The sequence below is a fragment of the Homo sapiens genome, chromosome 12 (assembly GCF_000001405.40).
Source record: "Homo sapiens chromosome 12, GRCh38.p14 Primary Assembly".
NCBI classification, from domain to species: domain Eukaryota; kingdom Metazoa; phylum Chordata; class Mammalia; order Primates; family Hominidae; genus Homo; species Homo sapiens.
Window position 1 is genome coordinate 132,955,024 of NC_000012.12, and position 23,365 is coordinate 132,978,388.

Sequence of the window (23,365 nt, forward strand, 5' to 3'; positions counted from 1 at the left end):
CACTGTTATTCAGCTGTCAAATAAAACATACAACTGGACAGAGCAAAGAAAGACGGTTCCAAAGGGTTATTGGAAGTGGGGAAAAAAAGACGCGGAAGAGGGTTGGGAAGGGGAAGGAGAACGGGCTTCTGGGAAGAACCGTGAAGCCACGAGACTCACGTGCATCTCTGCAAGGCAAAAAGGGTTTTTCTTTCACAGAGAGGTGTGAACAAGGTTAGCAAAGACCAGGCCTGGCCAAGCGAGGTGGAAGTGCGGGCGACCAGACAGCAGAGCGGGGAAAGCTTGACCCTGAGCCAGCCTGTTCTCAGGCGAGGCTGCGTGTTGGCTCAGGCTGGGGATGGGCCAAAGCTCAAGAAAATGGGGAAAGGAAAGAAGCTTAGCTAAAGTTTGCTTAAGGAGCATTTTGCTCCGACCGCTCGGTGGAGTTCAGCCAGTCACCGATGAGGCAAGCGACGGCAACGTGGCAGGTCTGTGTGAACAAGGGGCATCCTGGAGGCTGACCAAAGTCATATAGGGAACGGGAGATCTTTGCAGTGAGCCATTTGCTGGAACCCAAAAGGGTGGGAAATTCCTCAACCTTCGCTGTTTTCCAGGAGCACAGGGCTCTGGTGAAATCCAACACTGTCACAGCCGGCAGGCTTTCCAGTGAATGGAACCCACACAAGCAAGCCCCTAAGCCCTCCAACGCAGGCCCCCGCAGAAGCCTCATCATTCACCCCGCTGGCCTCCAATGCTCACCCAAAGGCATCCAAATCATTCATCAGCAGAGTCCTAATCGCTGCAGACAAATCCTCCACACGGCCTCCCAGGGGCCCCTCTCCCCTGGGGCCAAGGGCAACCTCGCGTCCCCTTGCCCCGCCCGTGCTGCACCCCAAGTCTACAGCGACCTCCATAGGCCCCCAGTGAATCGCCCAGCTGACCCCAAATCTCCCCCGACACCCACATTCAGCGCCCCGCCGCCGCCCGCCCTACAGCCCCCACCCCACCCTCTGCCTCCCACCCCCGCGCGCCCCCAGAGCCCCCGCCTGAGGCCCGCCTTCCGCGCATGCGCCCAGGCCGGTCCGCAGGCCTTTCTCGCCCCAGCCGGCAGCCAGCTCGTTCGCGCTGGGGTCACCGCGAGCCGGTCCGCAGCGGGGTCACCGCGATCCCCGGCGCAGACACAGAGGCCGCCCCCAGCCCCGCCGCCTCGTGGTCCCGCCCCCGCTGCACGCTCCCTTACCCCTCGGACCTCGCAGGGCCGCGGCGGACACGGCCCGATCGGGGACGTGAACGCGCAGAACTACATTTCCCAGCGTCCCGCTCGCGCTGGAACTACACTTCCCGGGGGGCTCGGCGGTGCACCCGCCGGGGTCGCGGATTGGAGGTTTCCGGTTGGAAAAGCCCCTTGGCGGCTAACTGGGGAGGACTGGAAGAAATCTAGGATGGAGCCAGCACTGCTGGCCCAACATGTCTGTGAGAGAACCTAAAGGCGCCTCCAGGAGGAAGCGTCTGCATCTTTTCCTTGTTTTTTTTTTTTTTTTTTTTGGAGGCAGGGTCTCGCTCTGTCACCCAGTGGGGAGTGCAGTGGTGCCATGAACGCTCATTGCAGCCTCAGGCTGGTCTCCGACTCCTGGGTTCAAATGATCCTCCTGCCCCAGCCTCCCAAAATGCTGGAATTACAGGCATGAGTCACTGCGTCCGGCTGCTTTTCCATTTTTCATCGTAGCTGTAAGTAATATCGGTAAATGTTAGTGTTACGTGCGTCCGTATAGGAGACCACCTGAGCAGGCTAAGTGTGAGCAACACGCCTGTTTATTCACTTGGGTGCAAGTGGGCTGAGTCTGAGAAAGGAGTCAGCGGAGGGTGGTGGGCTTGTCATTGGTTCTTATAGCTTTGGGATAGGATAGGCGGTGGAGTCAGCAGCAATTTTTTTTTTTTTTTTTTTTTTTGAGACAGAGTCTCACTCTGTCGCCGAGGCTGGAGTGCAGTGGCGCGATCTCGGCTCACTGCAAGCTCCGCCTCCCGGGTTCACGCCATTCTCCTGCCTCATCCTCCTGAGTAGCTGGGACTACAGGCACCCGCCACCACGCCCGGCTAATTTTTTTGTATTTTTAGTAGAGACGGGGTTTCACTGTGTTAGCCAGGATGGTCTTGATCTCCTGACCTCGTGATCCGCCCTCCTCGGCCTCCCAAAGTGCTGGGATTACGGGCGTGAGCCACCGCGCCCGGCCTCAGCAGCAATTTTTTGCGGGCAGGGGAGGATGTTACAAAGTACATTCACAAGGGCGGGGAGGGTGTATTGTCACAAGGGCGGAGAGGAATGTTACAAAGTACATTCACAAGGACCGGGAATATTACAAAGTACATTATCACAAGGGTGGGGGAATGTCACGATGGCTTGACCATGGTGCGGCCAGCTCAGAGGACCTTACATTTAGTACATCCAATCCAGCAGTATTGACAAAAGGAATGAAAATAGATGATAGGGTTGGGCGCGGTGGCTCACGGCTGTAATCCCAGCACTTTGGGAGGCTGAGGTGGGCGGATCACCAGGTCAGGAGATTGAGACCATCCTGGCCAACACGGTGAAACCCCGTCTCTACTAAAAATACAGAACATTAGCTGGGCGTGGTGGTGGGCGCCTGTAATCCCATCTACTCGGGAGGCTGAGGCAGGAGAATCACTTGAACTCGGGAGGCGGGGGTTGCGGTGAGCCATCATGCCGCTGCACTCTAGCCTGGCAACAGAGTGAGACCTCATCTCAAGAAAAAAAAAAGGAAAAATAAATGAGATGAGGACATTACAGGGAAATAAAATATATTTATGGATATATAAAGCAGTGGCTTGTCCCTGTAGTCCCAACTACTGGAGGCTGAGGCAGGAGGATTGCCTGAGCCTGGGAGGTTGAGGCTGCAGTGAGCTATGATGGCAACACTGCACTCCAGCCTGGGCCACAGAGGGAGACACCTTCTCTTAAAAATATTTTTTGGCCAGGCCAGGCGCGGTGGCTCACACCTGTAATCCCAGCACTTTGGGAGGCTAAGGCGGGCGGATCACCTGAGGTCAGGAGTTCGAGACCAGCCTGACCAACATGGTGAAACCCCATCTGTACTAAAAATATAAAAATTAGCCAGGTGTGGTGGCTCATGCCTGTAATGGCTCATACCTGTAATCCCACCTACTCAGGAGGTGGAGGCATGAGAATTGCTTGAACCCAGGAGGCAGAGGTTGCAGTGAGCTGAGATCTCACCACTGCACTCCACCCTGGGAGACAGAGTGAGATTCTGTCTAAAAAAAAAAAAAAAGAAAAAGAAAAACTGTAAAAGCATATTAGTTTTTTAAAATAAAAATGGGGAGAAACAGGAAACACACTCACAATTGGCAATTTAAAAAATTGAAATGGCCATAAAGACCAAATTAAAGTATATATGAAATAATATTTTGCTCAATTCTATATTAGTAAATTTGGAGCCTGTGAGAGATGGAGTTTTGCTCTTGTCGCCCAGGCTGGAGTGCAGTGGCACAATATCGGCTCACTGCAGCCTCCGCCTCCTGAGTTCAAGTGATTCTCCTGCCTCAGCCTCCCGAGTAGCTGGGATTGCAGGCGTGCGCCACCACGCCCGGCTAATTTTTGTATTTTTAGTAGAGACGTGGTTTCACCATGTTGGTCAGGCTGATCTTGATCTCTTAACCTCGTGATCCGCCTGCCTCGGCCTCCCGAAGTGCTGGGATTACAGGCGTGAGCCACTGCGCCCAGCCACTCCCAGCTACTTTTTGTATTTTTAGTAGAGATGGGTTTCACCATGTTGGCAAGGCTGGTCTCAAACTCCTGACCTCTGGTGATCCATGCGTCTCGGACTCCCAAAGTGCTGGGATTACAGACCTGAGCCACCGTACCCAGCCCACATTGCCCTGCTTCTAACTGAGATTCAACTTTATTTAAGCAAACCAATTCCATGCTCAACAGAGCTAAAATTAAAATTCTGCTTTAAGGTAGTTTTGTTTTTGTTCTCAGAAAATTTTGCTGTTCACAGATTTATGATTTTCACTTTTCTCCGAGGTTAAGCGTGTCATTTATTAAATGACTTACTAGAATTTATACGCCTTTTTTTTTTTTTTTTTTTTGAGATGGAGTCTTGCTCTGTCACCCAGGCTGGAGTGCAGTGGCGCGATCTCAGTTCACTGCTACCTCTGCCTCCTGGGTTGAAGCAATTCTCCCGCCTCTGCCCCCCGAGTAGCTGGGATTACAGGCACCCACCATCATGCCTGGCTAATTTTTTGTATTTTTGTAGAGACGAGGCTTCACCATGTTGGCCAGGCTGGTGTCGAACTCATGACCTCAGGTGATCCGCCTGTCTTGGCCTCCCAAAGTGCTGGGATTACAGGCATGAGCCACTGAGCATGGCCATGGCCTTTTCTTTCATTCCAATTTTGGTCAGGAAAGAAAACAGTTTCTCTCTCTAAAAAAAAATTCCATGGCTTAAGTAAAACTTGTAAGTTTAAAAAAAAAAAAAACTGGCTAAACTCTTAAGTTCAGTTCATTTGGCACATCTGAAGTCCCATTTTAAATGACCAAAGCCAGTAAAAAAAACTTTGTATAAAGACAGAGATAAGTCTTAAAGATAAGACACTCTTTCTCCCAGCCACAAGATAATTTAGTGACTTAGGTTTTGTGAAACTTTAAGCTCATCGTTCATGACATACGTTGGACCCATAAGACTCCCCTCAACAAAAAAAATACAAAAATCTCCTAGTGCCCTAAGTGCCCAAAATTACTGGGTTTCACCAAGACATCTATTGAAAAGTGACTCTTCAATAAATAATCCTTATTAAGCAGCATACCAGATCCAACAACTCTTTCCCTTTCAGTCTTTGATCTTTAAAACAAAAACCCCAAATTATGGACATTCATCCATCTAAAACTGAGTCTTTCCCCTTCAAAAGAAATACACCTTTAATGGCTGGATGCAGTGCCTCACGCCGGTAATCTCAGTGCTTTGGGAGGCTGAGGTGGGTGGAGCACAAGGTCAGGAGTTCGAGACCAGCCTGTCCAACATGGTGAAACCCCGTCTCTACTAAAAATACAAAAATTAGCTGGGCATGGTGGCCGGCGCCTGTAATCCCAGCTACTTGGGAGTCTGAGGCAAGAGAATTGCTTGAAACAGAAAGGTGGAGGTTGCAGTGAGCTGAAATTGTGCCACCGTATTCCAGTCTGGGCAAAAGAGCGAAACTCCATCTCAAAAAAAAAAATATATATATACCTTTAAGTAACTCCAGCTAAATTCATATATAGTACTTATGATGCGACCTCCTGTCAATATCTTTTAAAATGGTCTTATTTAACCCATAAAGACCCCAAACTACAAAGACCAAAATGAAATGACATTAAAAATACCTTAATTAGTTTATTTACGTGCATAATTTTTAAAAACTGAGTCTAAAATTTTTAAAAAATTGAAAGTTACTTTCAATAATACTAAAAAGCATCTAAAAGAGACTGAAAATTTCTTTCCCTACAGAAAAAATTAAACTCTTTAGAACTATTGATATATTAAAAAAGGAAACTGCCAAAACTTCTCACCCTTCTGCTTCTGCATCTCTTTATCCCTCCTTCTCCAAACTGCCTTGCCAAGACTTGACTTCTTTTTTCCTCCTCCCCATACAATCACTTATCTTTTGTAAATTAATATGTATTAATGTGGAGTCCTAATTAGGGAAAAAGAGACAGGGTAGTGGGAGCAGGGGAAAGCAAAATACGAAATAAGAGAAAGCAGATAAGCTGTAAGTCTGCCTTTCTTAATGGTCCAGGACACAGAGCTGTCATAACTCACAATCTTCCTGTGGCCAGCTATCACCAGATCCTCGGCTGATACAAAAAATGCACGTCAGCTTCCTGCAACCTTGGTGTTGTCAGAACTGAACGTAGCACTCTGCAGCCCAAGAACCACCTATTACATCTCCAGGAAACCTTTGTTTCCTTGCAGTCAGTTCCTCTCTTGCTGGCTGCCTGTTACCTTCTTGAAAGTATTTTCCTACTTTCTCTAATAAATCTGCCTATCTTGGTAAATTTTTTTTTTTTTTTTTTTGAGACGGAGTCTTGCTCTGTCACCAGGCTGGAGTGCAGGGGCGCGATCTCGGCTTACTGCAACCTCCAACTCCTGGGTTCAAGCTATTCCACTGCCTCAGCCTCCCAAGTAGCTGGGACTACAGGTGTGTTCCACCACGCCTGGCTAATTTTTTGTATTTTGGTAGAGACGGAGTTTCGCCATGTTGGCCAGGATGGTCTCGATCTCCTGACCTCATGATCCGCCCGCCTCGGCCTCCCAAAGTGCTGGGATTACAGGTGTGAGCCACCGCGCCTGGCCCTGTCTTGGTAAATTCTTTTACTCCTATTCCACTTTCCCATATAGTCACTGCTCCCCCACGACAATTTATATATCTATACAAGTTGTAAATATATATATTTATAATTGTATGTATTTAACATATATGCCTTTTTATCGTCCTGTACCTAACCTAACTCAGACCAAATAACACAGAAAACCCATAACTACTACATCTTCAATATAAAATAGTGAGTATATCTTCCCCCTAAAGAAACTACCTTAACTAATCAGGCCATTATAACTCTACATTAAGCCTTATATGTAAAGAATTAAAGTTCTGCTAAACTTTCCTAAACATTGTCTATATAAACAATCCCAAACTTCTACACTTCAAAATATGAACTTTCTTTCTTTAAGATTTATACTTCCCAGGTGGCTGTCCTCAAACTTTACACTTAAACTCTCTTTAAACTAGATTCTGATCCTTTCAGTTATTTTATTTTATTTATTTATTTATTTTTGAGACTGAGTTTCGCTCTTGTCATCCAGGCTGGAGTGCAATGGCGCGATCTCGGCTCACTGCAACCTCCGCCTCCCGGGTTCAAGCGACTCTCCTGCCTCAGCCCCCTGAGTAGCTGGAATTACAGGTGCCTGCCACCACGCCCGCCACGCCTGGCTAAATTTGTATTTTTAGTGGAGACGGGGTTTCGCCATGTTGGCCGGGCTGGTCTCCATCTCCTGACCTCAGGTGATCCACCCGACTTGGCCTCCCAGAGTACTGGGATTACAGGCATGAGCCACCCACACCCAGTCAGATCCTTTTAGTTATTTTATTATTATTATTATTATTATTATTATTATTATTATTATTTGAGACGGAGTCTTGCTCTGTAGCCCAGGCTGGAGTGCAGTGGCGTGATCTCGGCTCACTGCAACCTCTACCTCCCAGATTCTGCCTCAGCCTCTCGAGTAGCTGGGATTACAGGCGTGCACCACCACACCCAGCTAATTTTTTGTATTTTTAGTAGAGACAGGGTTGCACCTTGTTAGCCAGGATGGTCTGCATCTCCTGACCTCGTGATCTGCCCGCCTCGGCTTCACAAAGTGCTGGGATTACAGGCTTGAGCCACCATGCCCGGCTGATTTTATGTTTTTTATTATGTTTATTATTACTATCATTTGAGACGGAGTCTCGCTCTGTCGCCCAGCCTGGAATGCAGTGGCACGATCTCTGCTCACTGCAAGCTCCGCCTCCCGGGTTCACACCATTCTCCTGCCTCAGCCTCCCGAGTAGCTAGGACTACAGGCGCCCACCACCAAGCCCGGCTAATTTTTTGTATTTTTTAGTAGAGACGGGGTTTCACCATGTTAGCCAGGATGGTCTTGATCTCCTGACCTTGTGATCTGGCTGCCTTGGCCTCCCAGAGTGCTGGGATTACAGGCGTGAGCCACCGCACCTGGCCAAACTTTTTATATTTTTAGTAGAGATGGGGTTTAAACATATTGGCCAGGCTGGTCTCTTAACTCCTCCCACCTCGGCCTCCCAAAGTGCTGGGATTATAGGCGTGAGCCAGCACACCAGGCCCTTTTAGTTATTTTAAATTAGCATATCCTATGCTGATTGAAGCCCTGGAGTCAGCTATTCCTGAAGCCTACAGATCGACTTCTTTGGTTATAAAAGCCAATAGATTTCCTCTATTAGTCTAAGCTAGTTTGAGTTATATTTCTGGCAGAGCCTTATTACAAATTTACTCTTTTTTTTTTCTTTTCATTTCTTTCTGTTTGAGACAGGATCTTACTTTGTGAACCAATGGGAATGCAGTGGTGCAAATACAGTTTGCATCTCCACCTTCCAGGCTCAGGTGATCCTCCCACCTCAGCCTCCTGAGTAGCTGGGACCACAGGCACGTGCCACCATGCCTAGCTAATTTTTTTTTTTTTGAGGCAGAGTCTAGCTCTGTTGCCCAGGCTGGAGTGCAGTGGCACGATCTCGGCTCACTGCAACCTCCACCTCCTGGGTTCAAGTGATTCTCATGCCCCAGCCTCCCGAGTAGTTGGGATTACAGGCACATACGACCATGCCTGGCTAATTTTTTGTATTTTTAGTAGAGACAGGGTTTCACCATGTTGGTCAGGCTAGTCTCAAACTCCTGACCTCAGGTGATCCGCCTACCTCGGCCTCCCATACTGCTGGGATTACAGGCTTGAGCCACTGTGTCCAGCCTAATGCCTGGTTAATTTTTGTAAAGACGGGGTTTCACCATGTTGCCCAGGCTGCTCTCGAACTCCTGAGCTCTAGTGATCCACCCACCTTGACCTCCCAAAGTGCTGGGATTACAGGTATGAGCAATTGCACCCAGCCACAAATTCACTTTTACTTCGAAAGAGTCTTAATACAAACTTACTGTAGTAATTATGTAGGGCATTCCCAGCATCTGTTTCCATGCCAATCAAAAGAACCCTAAGATAAATAATTTAAAAATATAGAAGTAAAAGAAATCTGTGTGCCGCAAACCACCCAGGTGCCGAGGCAAGAGACCGAGGGCACAAGCTGCTCCAGTATAATAAAGAAAATATATAGAATAAGAATAGTTATACTAGAAATAGATTATAGATATGATTATATATGAATATCAATCATTAGTTTGTAGCATTACTCTTTATTCCAATATTATAATAATGTTTGTTCTACAATTATAACCTTGGAAAAACCAGGCCATACAGAGATAGGAACTGAAGGGACACGGTGAGAAGTGACCAGAAGACAAGTGTGAGCCTTCTGTCACACCCGGACAGGGCCACTAGAGGGCTCCCTGGTCTAGCGGTCGCGCCAGCGCCTGGGAAGGCACCCGTTACTTAGCAGACCAGGAAAGGGAGTCTCCCTTTCCCTTGGGGAGATGAGGGAAGACTCTGCTCCACCACCTCTTGTGGAAGGCCTGACATCAGTCAAGCCCGCCTGCAGCCATCCAGAGGCCTAAACGTCTCCCTGTGATGCTGTGCTTCAGCGGTCATGCTCCTGGTCCACTTTCATGTTCCACCCTATACACCTGGCTCCACCTTCTAGATAGCAGTAGCAGAATTAGTGAAAGTATTAAGCTGTTGATTCCTCCAAGAAATGCATATAAGAAATAATGACATAAGCTGTTCTCCCTCCCCACTCCCCTCTCTGCCTCGGCTGCCAGGCAGGGAAGGGCCCCTTGTCCAGTGGACACGTGACTCGCGTGACCTTACCTATCATTGGAGGTGGCTCACACTCCTTACCCTGTGCCCTTGTCTTGTATCCAACAAATAACAGCGCAGCCTGGCATTCGGGGCCACTACCGGTCTCTGCGTCTTGGTGGTAGTGGTCCCCCGGGCCCAGCTGTCTTTTCTTCTGTCTCTTTGCCTTGTGTCTTTATTTCTACAATCTCTCGTCTCCGCACATAAAGAGAAAAACCCACAGGCTCTGTAGGGCTGGTCCCTATAGAAATCATGTATGCTTATTTGTTGTTGTAACTTTACTTTTTTGTTCGTTTGTTTGTTTTGAGATGGAGTCTCGCTCTGTCGCCCAGGCTGGAGTGCAGTGGCGCGATCTCGGCTCACTGCAAGCTCCGCCTCCCGGGTTCACGCCATTCTCCTGCCTCAGCCTCCCGAGTAGCTGGGACTACAGGCGCCCGCCACCATGCCCGGCTAATTTTTTGTATTTTTTAGTAGAGACGGGGGTTCACCATGTTAGCCAGGATGGTCTGCGTCTCCTGACCTCGTGATCCACCCACTTCGGCCTCCCAAAGTGCTGGGATTACAGGCGTGAGCCATACTTTTTTTTTTTTTTTTTTAATGCATGTTGTTGCAACTCTGCTTTTTCTTCTGAGACAGGGTCTCACTCTGTCACCCAGGCTGGAGTGCAAGGGTGTGATCATGCCTCATTGCAGCCTTGGCCTCCTCCCACTCAGCCTCCCAAGTAGCAGGGAGTACAGGCACATGCCACCGTGCCTAGATAATTTTCTGAAAATTTTTTTTGTAGAGACAGGTTTTGCCATCTTGCCCAGGCTGGCCTCAAAGTCCTGAGCACAAGTGCTAGAATTACAGGCGTGAGCCACCATGACTGCGTGCCTGGCCCAACTCTACCTCTTTTTTTTTTTTTTTTTTTTTTTGAGATGGAGTCTCTGTAGGCTGGAGTGCAGTGGCGTGATCTTGGCTCATTGCAATCTTGGCTCATTGCAATCTCCATCTCCCAGGTTCAAGCGATTCTCCTGCCTCAGCCTCCCCAGTAGCTGGGATTACAGGCACATGCCACCATGCCCAGCTAATTTTCGTATTTTTAGTAGACATGGGAATTTGCCATGTTGGCCAGGCTGGTCTCAAACTCCTGGCCTCAGGTGATCCGCCCTCCTTGGCCTCCCAAAGTGCTGGGATTACAGGCGTGAGCCATTGGGCCCGGCTAACTCTGCTTCTTTTAATGCCCGAACACTGTCCCTGATCATCTAGGAACAGAATGGTTATCTTGTGTTGATTCTATCGTGTCTCACATACCCAAATGTTCTCATTGTTCTTCGCTGGTCTGTATCCTGTCGTTCATTATTTTTACAGGTGTCTATTTCTCTTACGCACTTTTCCAGGACCTCTTTTCTTTCCCGTCCATGTAAATCTAACCGTAGATTCCTAACTGTAGATTCTCCGCCCCTCCATGTAAATCTAACGGTAGATTCCTAACCGTAGATTCTCTTCCCTCAAAGGAGCTCTGCGTCGTTTTAGGCCAGTTGCAGCTTTACACGTAACAAAAGATTCATATAATTATGAATAAGAAGACCTGGGGTAGCAGGAGACCAGGGTTCTTGTCTAATATGGATAGCTCTGGGAAGCCTGCATGATTAGGGACTATGCATTTAAACTTACGTCAACGATATAATCTCACAATCCAGGTGGAAGGACGGCCTAAGAACGGTCATAAGTGGTGACTAAGTTTGCTTCAGTTAGAGAACTGGGCATAGAATATGTGTCTGGAATTTGCTAAAAATACAATTTGTTAGGAATGTTATGAGGCTATAGCAGTGCCTTATTAGCTCTGGGTTTAGATAGAAAGGGAAGATTAAATTGTGGCAGCGGCGGGCTGTCTGGAGTGCCTGCTGCCATCATGCAGGCTGCAGCAGCGGAGCACGCCTGGGGCTACATGCTCCATGGAGCTGGGGACAAGTGAGCACGTCGTCCCTTCCAAGTTGGGGTGGGAGTTCCCCAGGTGCCACTGCAGCTGCCCAAACCACCCAGGTATCCCCGTGCTCTCAGGGTGGGGAGCAGGCTGGAGCCCCACCCTCCTGGACACAGCTGCAGCTGTCCAAACTGTGGCTGCAGATCTGAGCCTCTGGCTCCATGAAACAGGCAGGAATCCCACCCCGCCCCTCCTTCCCACGCAGCTGCAAACCATGACTGCAGACCCAGGCATCTCTGCACTCTGGAGGGCCCAGGAAGACCCCCCTGACCTCGCAGGCTGGGAAATGCCTGCTCCCCCTGCCTGGCTTTTCTCTGCTGTCGGTGCCTGCTCCAATCTCGGAGCAAAGCTGGGGCCAAGCCTGGGCACTGTCACAGCCTGGCTGGGTGTGCACGCTCTCAAGGCAGTGCTGACCCGCCAGTCCCTTGCTGCCTCAGCCCCCTCTGGACATTGGGCACTGATGAGCATAGGAGGGAAGATGATGGGGGGCTGAGGGCAGCTTGGCACTGCCCAGCCTGGGCACCATGAAGACAGCAGGAGGCAGACAGGTTCCTGGGTGGAAGGGGGCGTGTCCCTGGTGAGCCCCACCTTGAGGCCAGGAAGGGCTAGAAGGCTGGGGGCCGGGCTCCCAGTCCCGCAGACCAGAGCGGGAACTTGTGGTGCCTTTTCCAGGCCCACCCACAGCCACCCATGGACCCATTGGAAGGCTCTTTCTCCTCTCTGAGGCCCATGAAAGCCCCAGGCTCAGCCAGAGCTGAGCAGGTGTCAGGATAACCAGCTGTGGAGAAGAGCTACCCAGTCCAGGGCCTCCTCTCTGCTGAAAGCTGCAGAGATAATGGGATGACCTGCTTGTAGAGAGTGAGAACACCTCCGACTCCAGGGTGTTCTCTCTGCTAGGAGCTGAATGCTTGTCAGGACACCCTGGCTGCAGAAAGGAGCTACCCACTGTGGGTCTCCTCTGAGCTGTTCTATTGCTCAATAAAGCTCCTCTTCACCTCGCTCACCCTTCACTTGTCCGTGTACCTCTTTCTTCCTGGTCGCAGGACAAGAACTCAGGATCTGTTGAATGGTGGGGCTAAAAGAGCTGTAACACAAACAGGGCTGAAACATGCCCCTTGCTCACCATGTTGCGAGTGCAGAGGAGAGAAGAGCTGCGGCCCTTCGGGGATCCCAGACCTGGAAGCTCCCTGAGCCAGGGCTGTGACTCCCTCTTAGGGGCCCTGTGGTCCTTGGCATCACCAAGCTTCTGAATGCCACTGCGTTTCCCAGTGCCAGCTGTTGAAGCTGCTTGTGGTGTACCTGGTCCAGCCACAGCTTTGCCGAGAGCTGGTGCCTATTCCAGCACCTGGAGCTGCCCACCCCACTGCAGCAGCCGGCATGTCTACTGTGTAGCGGCCAGACCCCATGCTCGCTCACACACTCCTCATCGCGCCACGCCTGACTCAGCCTTTGCAGGCATAGGATCTAGACAGGTAGCGCAAGCCAAGCACAGGATCCAGACAGGTGGCGCGAGCCAAGCGCAGGATCCAGACAGGTGGCGCGAGCCAAGCGCAGGATCCAGGCAGGTGGCGCGAGCCAAGCGCAGGATCCAGGCAGGTGGCGCGAGCCAAGCGCAGGATCCAGGCAGGTGGCGCGAGCCAAGCGCAGGATCCAGGCAGGTGGCGCGAGCCAAGCGCAGGGTCCAGACAGGTGGCATGAGCCAAGCACAACATGCCAGGCTGAGTGGACAGAATGAGTCTAGAGGGCCTGAGCAAAACTCGGGCAAAGGCGCCACAGGCCACAGAGGTTTCTGGCTGGAAAAGCAACACCCCAAGGATCCTGAGACAACTGGGGGTAAATGGAATAAAGAAAAGAACTCAGGATTTGGATCCCTAATGACCCAGACTTTATACCATAAGTCCTTCAATTGCTACCTATGTCCTTGGGCAAATAGCAAATTTTCTATGCTTGTTTCTTCACAATGAGCAGGTGTCAGTCCATTCTTGCATTGCTATAAAGAAATACCTGAGACTGGGTAATTATAAGAAAATAGGTTTATTTGGCTTACAGCTCTGCAGGCTGTACAGGAAACAGTCCTGGCATTTGCTTCTGGGGAAGGCTTTGGAAGCTTCCAGTCATTGTGGAACATGGAGTGGAGCAGGCATCTCATGCGGCAGAAATGGCAGAAAAATGGAGGAGGCACCACACTTTTAAACAACCAGATCTTGGCCAGGCGAGGTGGCTCACACCTGTAATCCCAGCACTTTGGGAGGCTGAGGTGGGCGGATCACGAGGTCAGGAGATCAAGACCATCCTGGCTAACACAGTGAAACCCTGTCTCTACTAAAAATACAAAAAATTAGCCGGGCACAGTGGTGGACACCTGTAGTCCCAGCTACTCGGGAGGCTGAGGCAGGAGAATGGTGTGAACCCGGGAGGTGGAGCTTGCCGTGAGCCAAGATTGCGCCACTGCACTCCAGCCTGGGCGACAGAGTGAGACTGTCTCAAAAAAAAAAAAAAAAGAAAAAAAGAAACAACCATGTCTTGTGAGAACTCACTCATTATTGGATTACACCGAACCACGAGAGATCTATCCTCATGACCCAAACACCTCTCACCAGGCTCCACCTCCAACACTGGGGATTACATTTCAACATGAGATTTGGGTGGGAACATACATTCAAACTATATCTAGTTTCATATATTCAAACTATATCAGAGCATAATAAAAAGATCCTCATAGAGTTGTTTTAAGAATAAGGAATGATGGGCTGGGCGTAGTGGCTCACGCCTGTAATCCCAGCACTTAGGGAGGCCAAGGCGGGCTGACCACCTGAGGTCAGGAGATAGAGACCAGCCTGGCCAACATGGTGAAACCCTGTCTCTACTAAAAATACAAAAATTAGCTGGGCATGGTGGCGGACACCTGTAATCCCAGCTACTCAGGAGGCTGAGGCAGGAGAATTGCTTGAATCCAGGAGGCGGAGGCTGCAGTGAGCCGAGATCACGCCATTGCACTCCAACCTGGGGGACAAAAGCGAGACTTCATCTCAAAAAAAAAAAAGGAATGATGTTGATAAAGTGACTAACATAAAGAAAATGGGGGCTGCTCTTCCACTATGTGATGGTCAACACTGAGTGTCAACTTGATTGGATTGAAGGATGCTAAGTATTGATCCTGGGTGTGTCTGTGAGGGTGTTGCCAAAGGACATTAACATTTGAGTCAGTGGACTTGGAAAAGCAGACGCACCCTTAATCTGGGAGGGCACCATCTAATCACCTACCAGTGCAGCCAGAATAAAAAGCAGGCAGAGGGCCAGGTGCAGTGGCTTACGCCTGTAATCCCAGCACTTTGGGAGGCCGAGGCGGGTGGATCACGAGGTCAGGAGTTCAAGACCAGCCTGGCCAAGATGATATAATCCCGTCTGTACTAAAAATACACAAAAATTAGCTGGGCGTGGTGGCAGGCACCTGTAATCCCAGCTACTCGGGAGGCTGAGGCAGAGAATTGCTTGAACCCAGGAGGCAGAGGTTGCAGTGAGCTGAAATCGTGCCACTGCACTCCAGCCTGGGCGACAGAGTGAGACTCCGTCTCAAAAAAAAAAAAAAAAAAGCAGGCAGAAGAACATGAAAAGACTAGACTGGCTTAGCCTCTCAGCCTATGTCTTTCTCCCACGCTGGATGATTCCTGCCCTCGAACACTGGACTCCAAGTTCTTCAGCTTTGGGATTCTGTTAGGTTCCAACCTGAGCTGGAGTCTGAGTGGAGTTGGTGGATGGGTGGTGGGCAGCAGAAAGAACACTGAAGGGACCGAAGGTGGTTGGGACATGGCTTTATTCTCTCCCCTACAGAGTCAGCAGTGCAGTTATATCACTTACAGACAACAGTGGTTCCAAGCCAGGTATAAGCTCAAACAGTTTACATCAAATGGCTACATAGGCTGGGGGCGGTGGCTCACGTCTCTTATCCCAGCACTTTGGGAGGCTGAGACGGGCAGATCACTTGAGGTCAGGAGTTCAAGACCAGCCTGGCCAACATGGCGAAACCCTGTCTCTACTAACAATACAAAAACTAGCCAGGCGTGGTGGCAGGTTCCTATAATTCCAGCTACTTGGGAGGTTGAGGCACAAGAATTGCTTGAACCTGAGAGGCAGAGGTTGCAGTGAGCAGAGATTGCAGCCACTGCACTCCAGCCTAGGGTGACAGAGTGAGACTGTGAAAAAAAAAAGAATTTCAAATTAAGAAAAAAATACATTTTCCCCAGGAGGGAGACAAACTCTACCAAACAAGAGTTCTGCATGCCTGTCTTTTCCTATACTATGGTCTGAATATGTCCCCCAAACTTGGAAATTTAATCCCCAATGCAACACTGTTGGGAGGTGGGGCCTTGGCAGAGGTGTTAGGTCATGAGTGTTCTGCCCTCATAAATGGATTAATGCCATTATTAAAGGGTTAATGGGGCCGGGCGCGGTGGTTCACGACTGTAATCCCAGCACTTTGGGAGGCCAAGGCGGGTGGATCACGAGGTTAGGAGTTCAAGACCAGCCTAGCCAAGATGGTGAAACCCCATCTCTACTAAAAATACAAGAATTAGCTGGGCGTGGTGGTGGGCGCCTGCAATCCCAGCTACTTGGGGGGCTGAGGCAGAGAATTGCTTGAACCGGGGAGGCGGAGGTTGCAGTGAGCCAAGATCGCGCCACTGCACTCCAGCCTGGGGGACAGAGTAAGACTCTGTCTCAAAAAATAAAATAAAATAAAATAAAATAAAATAAAATAAAAGGCTTAATGGAGGGAGTTTGGCCCTTTTTGCCCCTTCCATCCCTTTGGCCCTGTGAGGACACAGCTTTCCTCCCCTCTGGAGGGTGTGGTTACAAGATGCCGTCTTGGAGGCAGACACTGGGCTCTTAGCAGACACCAAACCTGCTGGTGCCTTGATCTAGATCTTCTAGCCCTCAGAACTATGATAAATAAGTTTCTGTTCTTTATGAATTACCCAGCCTCAGGTATTTTGTTATAGAAGCACAAATGGACTAAGATACCCTACAACCCACAAAGAGTTTTTACTTTTTTAAAATTATTATTATTTTTGAGACAGAGTCTTGCTCTGTCGCCCAGGCTGGAATGCAGTGGCGTGATCTCGGCTCACTGCAAGCTCCGCCTCCCGGGTTCACGCCATCCTCCTGCCTCAGCCTCCCGAGTAGCTGGGACTACAGGCGCCCGCTACCACGCCTGGCTAATTTTTTGTATTTTTAGTAGACACGGGGTTTCACCATGTTAGCCAGGATAGTCTCGATCTCTTGACCTCGTGATCCACCCGCCTCGGCCTCCCAAAGTGCTGGGATTACAGGCGTGAGGCACCGCGCCCGGCCCAACGAGTTTTTTAAAAAATAGCTAAAAGATAATGAAATATGTCTGGAATCAGATAACTTTGAGGAAGGTTGTACAGTATGTGACCAACACATAGCTTTCCACTGAAACACGTTTTTTTTTTTTTTGGTAGTAATTTCCAGTCTAGTTGTCTGTCAAAGATTTAAACCATAATCTTTTTTCCCCCCAGAGGTTGATACTTTCCTTATTGATTTTTTTCTTAAATAAAATCAATTATTGTCCATTATAAAAATGTTAAATCCACAGTAGGGTAAAAATAGAATGTCCAGGAACCACTTTGCACTGCCCTCATTTAGTTCTACTCCACAAAATTAACGATTGTTAATATTTTCTTGTTTATCCTTTCCGAACTCCATTTATTTGTGAGAATGGTGTCATATAAAACATCTTAGCCAGGTATGGGTGGCTCATGCTTGTAATCACAACACTTCTGGAGAGCAAGGTAGGAAGATCGCTTGAGGGCAGGAGTTCAAGAACAGCCTTGGCAACTCAGCAAGACCCTCATCTCTTATGTTTTTTATTATGCTTTCCCTTGGACATTTCTGTATTATATTTCGTCCCCTTTTTACAAAACCATTGACATATCTGTTTATGTGTCATGCCAAATTCAAATGAGAGTAATAGACTCTCTTGTATTGTGGGGCATCTGCTTAATTTAAACTTTGCCCAAAGAGTTTCCATGAGGGATTTGCTGACTAGTCTTTTCTTGGGATATTTTGTTTTTCATTTTCTTTTTTGCTTTCTTTTTCCTGTTCATCTTCCAGCTCCTTTAATGTTTCCTCTTGTTTTTCTCCTTCTCTCTTTCTGCCTGCTTCTCCTCCTCCTCTCCATTTCTGCTTTCCCTTTTATTCATCTTCACTGTAATTTCCATTTGATTGTTCTGAATTTTGATCCCAAGGCATAGCCGGTTGTTTCTGTATAACAGGATCCCAACTTTTCAATTCTGTGAAGTTATCACTACCTTCCAGCCTTTGCTGACTTACATCCATGATTGTTTGGCTCTGAGTCTTCTCTCTTAGAGTCTCTGTTTGATTTTTAGAAATAAAAAAAATTCTCAGCACCGCATGTTTTACCTCAGAAAAGTCTTGAAGTATCAGGAGCTCTCTCCACCTTGAAAACATTTCTTCTCCCACTTCCTGGATGCCATCCTTTCCCGGATTTCCTTCAAAGTCAATGGCTGCTCTTTCAAAGCTTTCTTTCTTGCTTCTCTTTCCCCTAGTGCTCTCTGTAAACCATAATCTTGAGAATCTACTTTATTCATCCCTATAAACCTGGTAAATAGCAACATCACAGCTATAAAACCTAACAAATTGTAAGTAATATGGAAATAATAAATAACTTTGCTGAATGAAGAATGTCTATACAGAAACAAGACCAAAGATATCAAAGAATTTAGAGAAAACTTAAATAAGTAAAACAGGACAGTGGAAGACAAAGAGAAGACCCAATTCAAAAGGCAGGAGGGTGAATAATAAGCCAATTATGAAAAGCTATAAGAGAAGATGTCAACCTCTGAAAAAGTGGAGGTTCTAAAATTTGCCTCAAAGTCAAAGGTGTCTTTCAGGAGAATGTTGTTGGTAGAATATGTGAAGAATGTTGTTGGTAGGATACAGGGAGCAAAAGCTAGATTCTCGGAATAAAATGGGAGTAGAAGTTGAAGCAATGGGTAAAGACTCCAAATTTTAATAAGAAGAAGTCAGGAGGAGGCATATGTATATACAATAACAGAAACTTCTGATGTACTTTAATGGGAAGAGTAAATAATGTCAAGTTAACTTGTCTATTCAATATAATTCTACTCAAGGCCAGGCACGGCGCTCATGCCTGTAATCCCAGCACTTTGGGAGGTGAAGGTGGGAGGATTGCTTGAACTGAGGACTTCAAGACCAGCCTGGGCAACTTAGCCAGACTCTGCCTCTACAAAAAATTTTTAAAAATTAGCCAGGCCTGGTGGGGCATTGCCTGTCATCCCAGCTGCTCAGAAGTCTGAGGTGGGAGGACTGCTTGAGTCCAAGAGTTTATGGCTGCAGTGAGCTATGGTCACACCACTGCACTCCAGCCTTGGTGAGAGAGTGGGACCCTGTCTTTAAAAAACCTACTGAAAATTTCATAGAGTTTTTCTAATTTCATGAAACGAAAGTTCAAATGGAAGAAGAAACAGTGAAAAATATCACAGAAACTAGAAAGAATTCATACTCACAAATTCAAAACCTAAAGCATGTCAACAAGAAACACTATGGGTGATAGCACAGTAAATGAAGAAACAGGGTAGCCAACCTGGAGAGGAAACTAGATGGGAGAATAAATAAAGACACTTTACAAACCAAATATCTTTTGAACATCTAGGGTGATAAGCTAGGACAGGTTTTGGAGCAATCGGGAAGATGATAAGAAGCCACAAAAAGAGGGGAATCCAACAATGCCCCACAAGGTTTGCAGCTAATGGCTGAAAATGTCCCAAGTCTGGGGATAGATATGAACATTTATGTGCATGAAGCTCAAAAGTCTCTAATCAGGTAGAAAATATCACCAAGACATATTATAATCAAACCATCAAAAATCAAAGACAGGCCAGGCGTGGTGGCTCATACTTGTATTCTCAGCACTTTGGAAGGCTGAGGCAGAAGGATCACTTGAGCCCAGGAGTTGGAAGCCACCCTGAGGAACATAGTGAGACCATGTCTCCACACATAAAAATTAGCCAGAAGTGATGGCATGTGCTTGTAGTGCCAGCTAATTGGGAGGCTGAGGTGATAGGATCACTTGACCCCAGGATGTTGAGGTGAGGATCACTTGACCCCAGGATGTTGAGGTGCAGCGATTCAGGATCTTGCCACTGCACTTCCATCTGGGTGACAGAGCAGTCCCTGCTTAAAAAAAAATTAAAGGCAAAGACTATCTTGAAAGTAGCAAGAGAAAATCACGAAGGATTATCAGTGGATTTCTCAGCAGAAACTTTGCAGGCTAGGAGGGAGTGGGATGATATTTTCCAAGGGCTGAAAGAAAAATACACTGCTAATCAAGAATACTTTATCCCTAAAGCTGTCTTTCAGAAATGAAAGAGAGAGAAAGATTTTCCCAAACAAAAGCTGAGGGAGTACATCGCCACTAGGCCTGCTTTACTAGAAATGCTAAAGGGTGTTCTTTAAGCTGAAGTGAAGTTGCTAATTAGTAACATGAAAACATATGAAAGTATAAAACTAGTAAAAGCATACAGTCATATTCAGAATACTCTAATGCTATAATGGTGATCTGTAAATCACTTATATTTCTAGTATAAAGATTAAAAGACAAATTAATTTTTTTTTGAGAGGGAGTTTTGCTCTTGTTGCCCAGGCTGGAGTGCAGTGGCACGATCTCAGCTCACTGCAACCTTTGTCTCTCGGGTTCAAGCAATTCTCCTGCCTCAGCCTCCCGAGTAGCTGGGATTACAGGTGCCCACGACCACGCCCAGCTGATTTTTTGTATTTTTAGTAGAGACGGTGTTTCCCTATGTTGGCCAGGCTGGTCTCAAACTCCTGACCTCAGGCGATCTACACACCTCGGCCTCCCAAAGTGCTGGGATTACAGGTGTGAGCCATTGTGCCCAGCCAACAAAACTACTAAAAATAACTATAGCTACAACCATTTGTTAGTAGATACACAATATAAAAAGATGTAAATTGTAATATCATAAACATAAAATAGAGGAGGAGTAAAGATGTGGTTTTTATATGCAAAGTTAAGTTGTTATAAGCTTAAAATAGACTATTATAACTATGTTATACGTGAGCCTCATTGTAACTACAACACAAAAACCTATGGTAGATACATGAAAAATGAAGAGAAATGAACCAAAGCATATCACCTAGAGAAAATGATCAAATCACAAAGGAAAACAGCAAGGGAGGAGGAAAGGACAAAGGGATCTATAAAACAGTCAGAAAAACAATTAACATAATGACCATAGTAAGTCCTTACCCATCAATAATTACCTTGAATATAAATGAATTAAATTATCTAGTCAAAAGACAGACAGTAGCTAAGTGGATTAGAAAAAAACCCAAACAAGTCCCAACCATACGCTACCTATAAGAGACATACTTCAGTTTTAAGGATACACATAGGCTGAAAGTGAAGGAATAGAATAAAATGTTCTATGCAAATAGAAACCACGAATATGTGGAAATTAAACAACATACTCCTGAACAACCAATGGGTCAACCAATGGGAAGAAATCAAAAGGGAAATTTAGAATTATCTTAAGACTTGAAAAAATGGAAACACAGCATATGAAAACTTATGGAATGCAGCAAAAGCAGTTCTAAGAGGGATCATTATAGTGCTAAATGCCTATGCTAAAAAAGATTATAAACAAGCTAGCATTACACCTCCAGAAACTAGGAAAAGAACAAATTAAACCCAATGTTAGTAGAAGTAAGGACATAGCAAACATCAGAGCAGAAATAAATGAAATAGAACTATAAAAATGATAGAAAGATCAACAAAACTAAGAGTTGGTTTTTGAAAAGATAAATAAAATTGACAATCCTTTAGCTAGACTAAGAAAAAAGGAGAAATGACTCAAAATCAGAAATGAAAGAGGAGACATTATAACTGATACCACAGACATACAAAGGATCATGAGAGAATACTACAAGAAAATGTACAGCAAAAAAATGTAAATAACCCAGAAAAAAATGAATAAATTCCTGGAAACATATAACTTAACAAGACTGAGTCATGTAGAATAGAAAATTTGGCCGGGCATGGTGGCTCACACTTGTAATCTCCACTTTGGGAGGCAAAGGCGGGTGGATTGCTTGAGTCCAGGAGTTGGAGACCAGTCTGGGCAACATGGTGAAACCCCGTCTCTACAAAAAATACAAAAAATTAGCCGGGCATGTGTGGGCGGCAAGCCACCCAGGTGCTGAGGCAAGAGACCAAGGGCACGACCTGTTCCAGTATAATAAAGAAAATATATAAAATAAGAATAGTTATACTAGATATAGATCATAGATATGATTATATATGAATATCATTAATCACAGTTTGTAGCAATTACTTTTTATTCCAATATTATAATAATCCTTGCTCTACAATCATAACCTAGGAAAAACCAGGCCATACAGAGATAGGAGCCGAGGGGACACAGTGAGAAGTGACCAGAAGACAAGTGCGAGCCTCCTGTTATGCCCGGACAGGGCCACCAGAGGGCTCCTGGGTCTAGCGGTGAAGCCAGCGCCTGGGAAGACGCCCGTTGCCAAGCGGACCATGGTCTAGCGGTAGCGTCAGTGCTTAGAAAAGGCACCGGTTACTTAGCAGACCGGGAAAGGGAATCTCCCTTTCTCCGGGGGAGGTAGAGAAGACTCTGCTCCACCACCTCTTGTGGAGGTCCTGACATCAGTCAAGCCCGCCCGCAGTCATCCGGAGGCCTGACCGTCTCCCTGTGATGCTGTGCTTCTGCGGTCACGCTCCTGGTCCACTTTCATGTTCCACCCTGTACACCTGGATCTGCCTTCTAGATAGCAGTAGCAGAATTAGTGAAAGTACTAAAAGTCTTTGAAATGCAGAAGTAATGGCGTAAGCTGTCTCTTTCTCCGCCTCGGCTGCCAAACAGGGAAAGGTGCCCTGTCCAGTGGACACGTGACCCACATGACCTTAGCTATCATTGGAGATGGCTCACGCTCCTTACCCTGCCCCCTTGTCTTGTATCCAATAAATAACAGCACAGCCAGGCATTCGGGGCCACTACCGGTCTCCGCGTCTTGGCGGTAGTGGCCCCCCGGGCCCTGCTGTCTTTTCTTCTATCTCTTTGTCTTGTGTCTTTATTTCTATGATCTCTCGTCTCCGCACATGGGGAGAAAATCCCACAGACCCTGTAGGGCTAGACCCTACAGGCATGGTGGCACATGCCTATAGTCTCAGCTACTTGGGAGGCTGACTTGGGAGAACCCAGGAGTTTGAGGCTGCGGTGAGCCATGTTTGTGCTACTGCACTCCAGCCTGGGTGACAGAGTGAGACACTGTCTCAAAAGAAAAAAAAATTTGAGTAGACCATAAAATAATCATTAGACCAAACGATAGCATTATTGTAACTCTGGTTTATAACTCCACATTTTCTTTTTTTTTAAACATAATTTAAGAGATTAATGCATTTAAAAGAAGGATTAATGTATGTTTTGGGGCATGCAATGTATAAGGATGTAATTTTGTGACATCAGCAAATCAAAGGGGTGGGAGCAGAGCTTTAAAGGAGCAGAGTTCTCACCTGTTATTAAAGTTAAACTGGTAAAAATTCAAATTAGAGCGTTATCGTTTCCGATGTTAAATGTACTCCTCATGGCAACCACAAAAAATAGCTATAGAACAGACACAAAAGAACATCAGAAAGGAATTTAAACATTCCACTATAAAAAATCAACTAGGTCGGGCGCAGTGGCTCACCCCTGTAATCCCAGCACTTTGGGAGACCAAGGTGGGTGGATCACCTGAGGTCAGGAGTTTGAGACCAGCCTGGCTAACATGG

The 23,365-nt window shown here is 47.1% G+C and overlaps 1 protein-coding gene, 1 long non-coding RNA gene and 1 pseudogene across 3 annotated transcripts in view, besides 6 other annotated features; 1 reads left to right on the forward strand and 2 right to left on the reverse strand.

Annotated features, from left to right (window-relative positions):
• Window positions 1–831: an enhancer, noted in NCBI's record as "H3K27ac-H3K4me1 hESC enhancer chr12:133531610-133532440 (GRCh37/hg19 assembly coordinates)". NCBI's record gives its function as "activates a minimal SCP1, AML or CMV promoter by ChIP-STARR-seq in primed H9 embryonic stem cells {active_cell/tissue: H9 hESC(primed)}" and the evidence as "EXISTENCE:reporter gene assay evidence [ECO:0000049][PMID:30033119]".
• ZNF605 (zinc finger protein 605) overlaps window positions 1–1,283 on the reverse strand; it is a 38,001-nt gene extending 36,718 nt beyond the window's left edge. For both annotated transcript variants that reach the window (NM_001164715.2, NM_183238.4), the window contains exon 1: window positions 1,220–1,283. The gene's annotated coding sequence lies outside the window, so the exon portion shown is untranslated. The remainder of the gene's footprint in view (window positions 1–1,219) is intronic.
• Window positions 260–554: an enhancer, noted in NCBI's record as "tiled region #9872; K562 Activating non-DNase unmatched - State 2:TssF". NCBI's record gives its function as "activates a minimal TATA promoter and a strong SV40 promoter by Sharpr-MPRA in K562 cells {active_cell/tissue: K562}" and the evidence as "EXISTENCE:reporter gene assay evidence [ECO:0000049][PMID:27701403]".
• Window positions 832–1,660: an enhancer, noted in NCBI's record as "H3K27ac-H3K4me1 hESC enhancer chr12:133532441-133533269 (GRCh37/hg19 assembly coordinates)". NCBI's record gives its function as "activates a minimal SCP1, AML or CMV promoter by ChIP-STARR-seq in primed H9 embryonic stem cells {active_cell/tissue: H9 hESC(primed)}" and the evidence as "EXISTENCE:reporter gene assay evidence [ECO:0000049][PMID:30033119]".
• Window positions 914–1,253: a silencer, noted in NCBI's record as "silent region_5133". NCBI's record gives its function as "represses an Ori minimal core promoter by ATAC-STARR-seq in GM12878 lymphoblastoid cells {active_cell/tissue: GM12878}" and the evidence as "EXISTENCE:reporter gene assay evidence [ECO:0000049][PMID:35858748]".
• Window positions 1,414–1,493: an enhancer, noted in NCBI's record as "active region_7394". NCBI's record gives its function as "activates an Ori minimal core promoter by ATAC-STARR-seq in GM12878 lymphoblastoid cells {active_cell/tissue: GM12878}" and the evidence as "EXISTENCE:reporter gene assay evidence [ECO:0000049][PMID:35858748]".
• LOC124903064 (uncharacterized) overlaps window positions 1,526–23,365 on the forward strand; it is a 27,162-nt gene continuing 5,322 nt past the window's right edge. Inside the window, exon 1 of the long non-coding RNA XR_007063552.1 lies at window positions 1,526–1,707. This is a non-coding gene — a long non-coding RNA (uncharacterized LOC124903064). The remainder of the gene's footprint in view (window positions 1,708–23,365) is intronic.
• On the reverse strand, window positions 17,315–17,867 carry NANOGNBP2 (NANOGNB pseudogene 2; annotated as a pseudogene).
• Window positions 21,898–22,148: a silencer, noted in NCBI's record as "fragment chr12:133553507-133553757 (GRCh37/hg19 assembly coordinates)". NCBI's record gives its function as "represses an EF-1alpha promoter that drives an FKBP-Casp9 reporter gene in an ReSE screen in HepG2 liver carcinoma cells {active_cell/tissue: HepG2}" and the evidence as "EXISTENCE:reporter gene assay evidence [ECO:0000049][PMID:32094911]".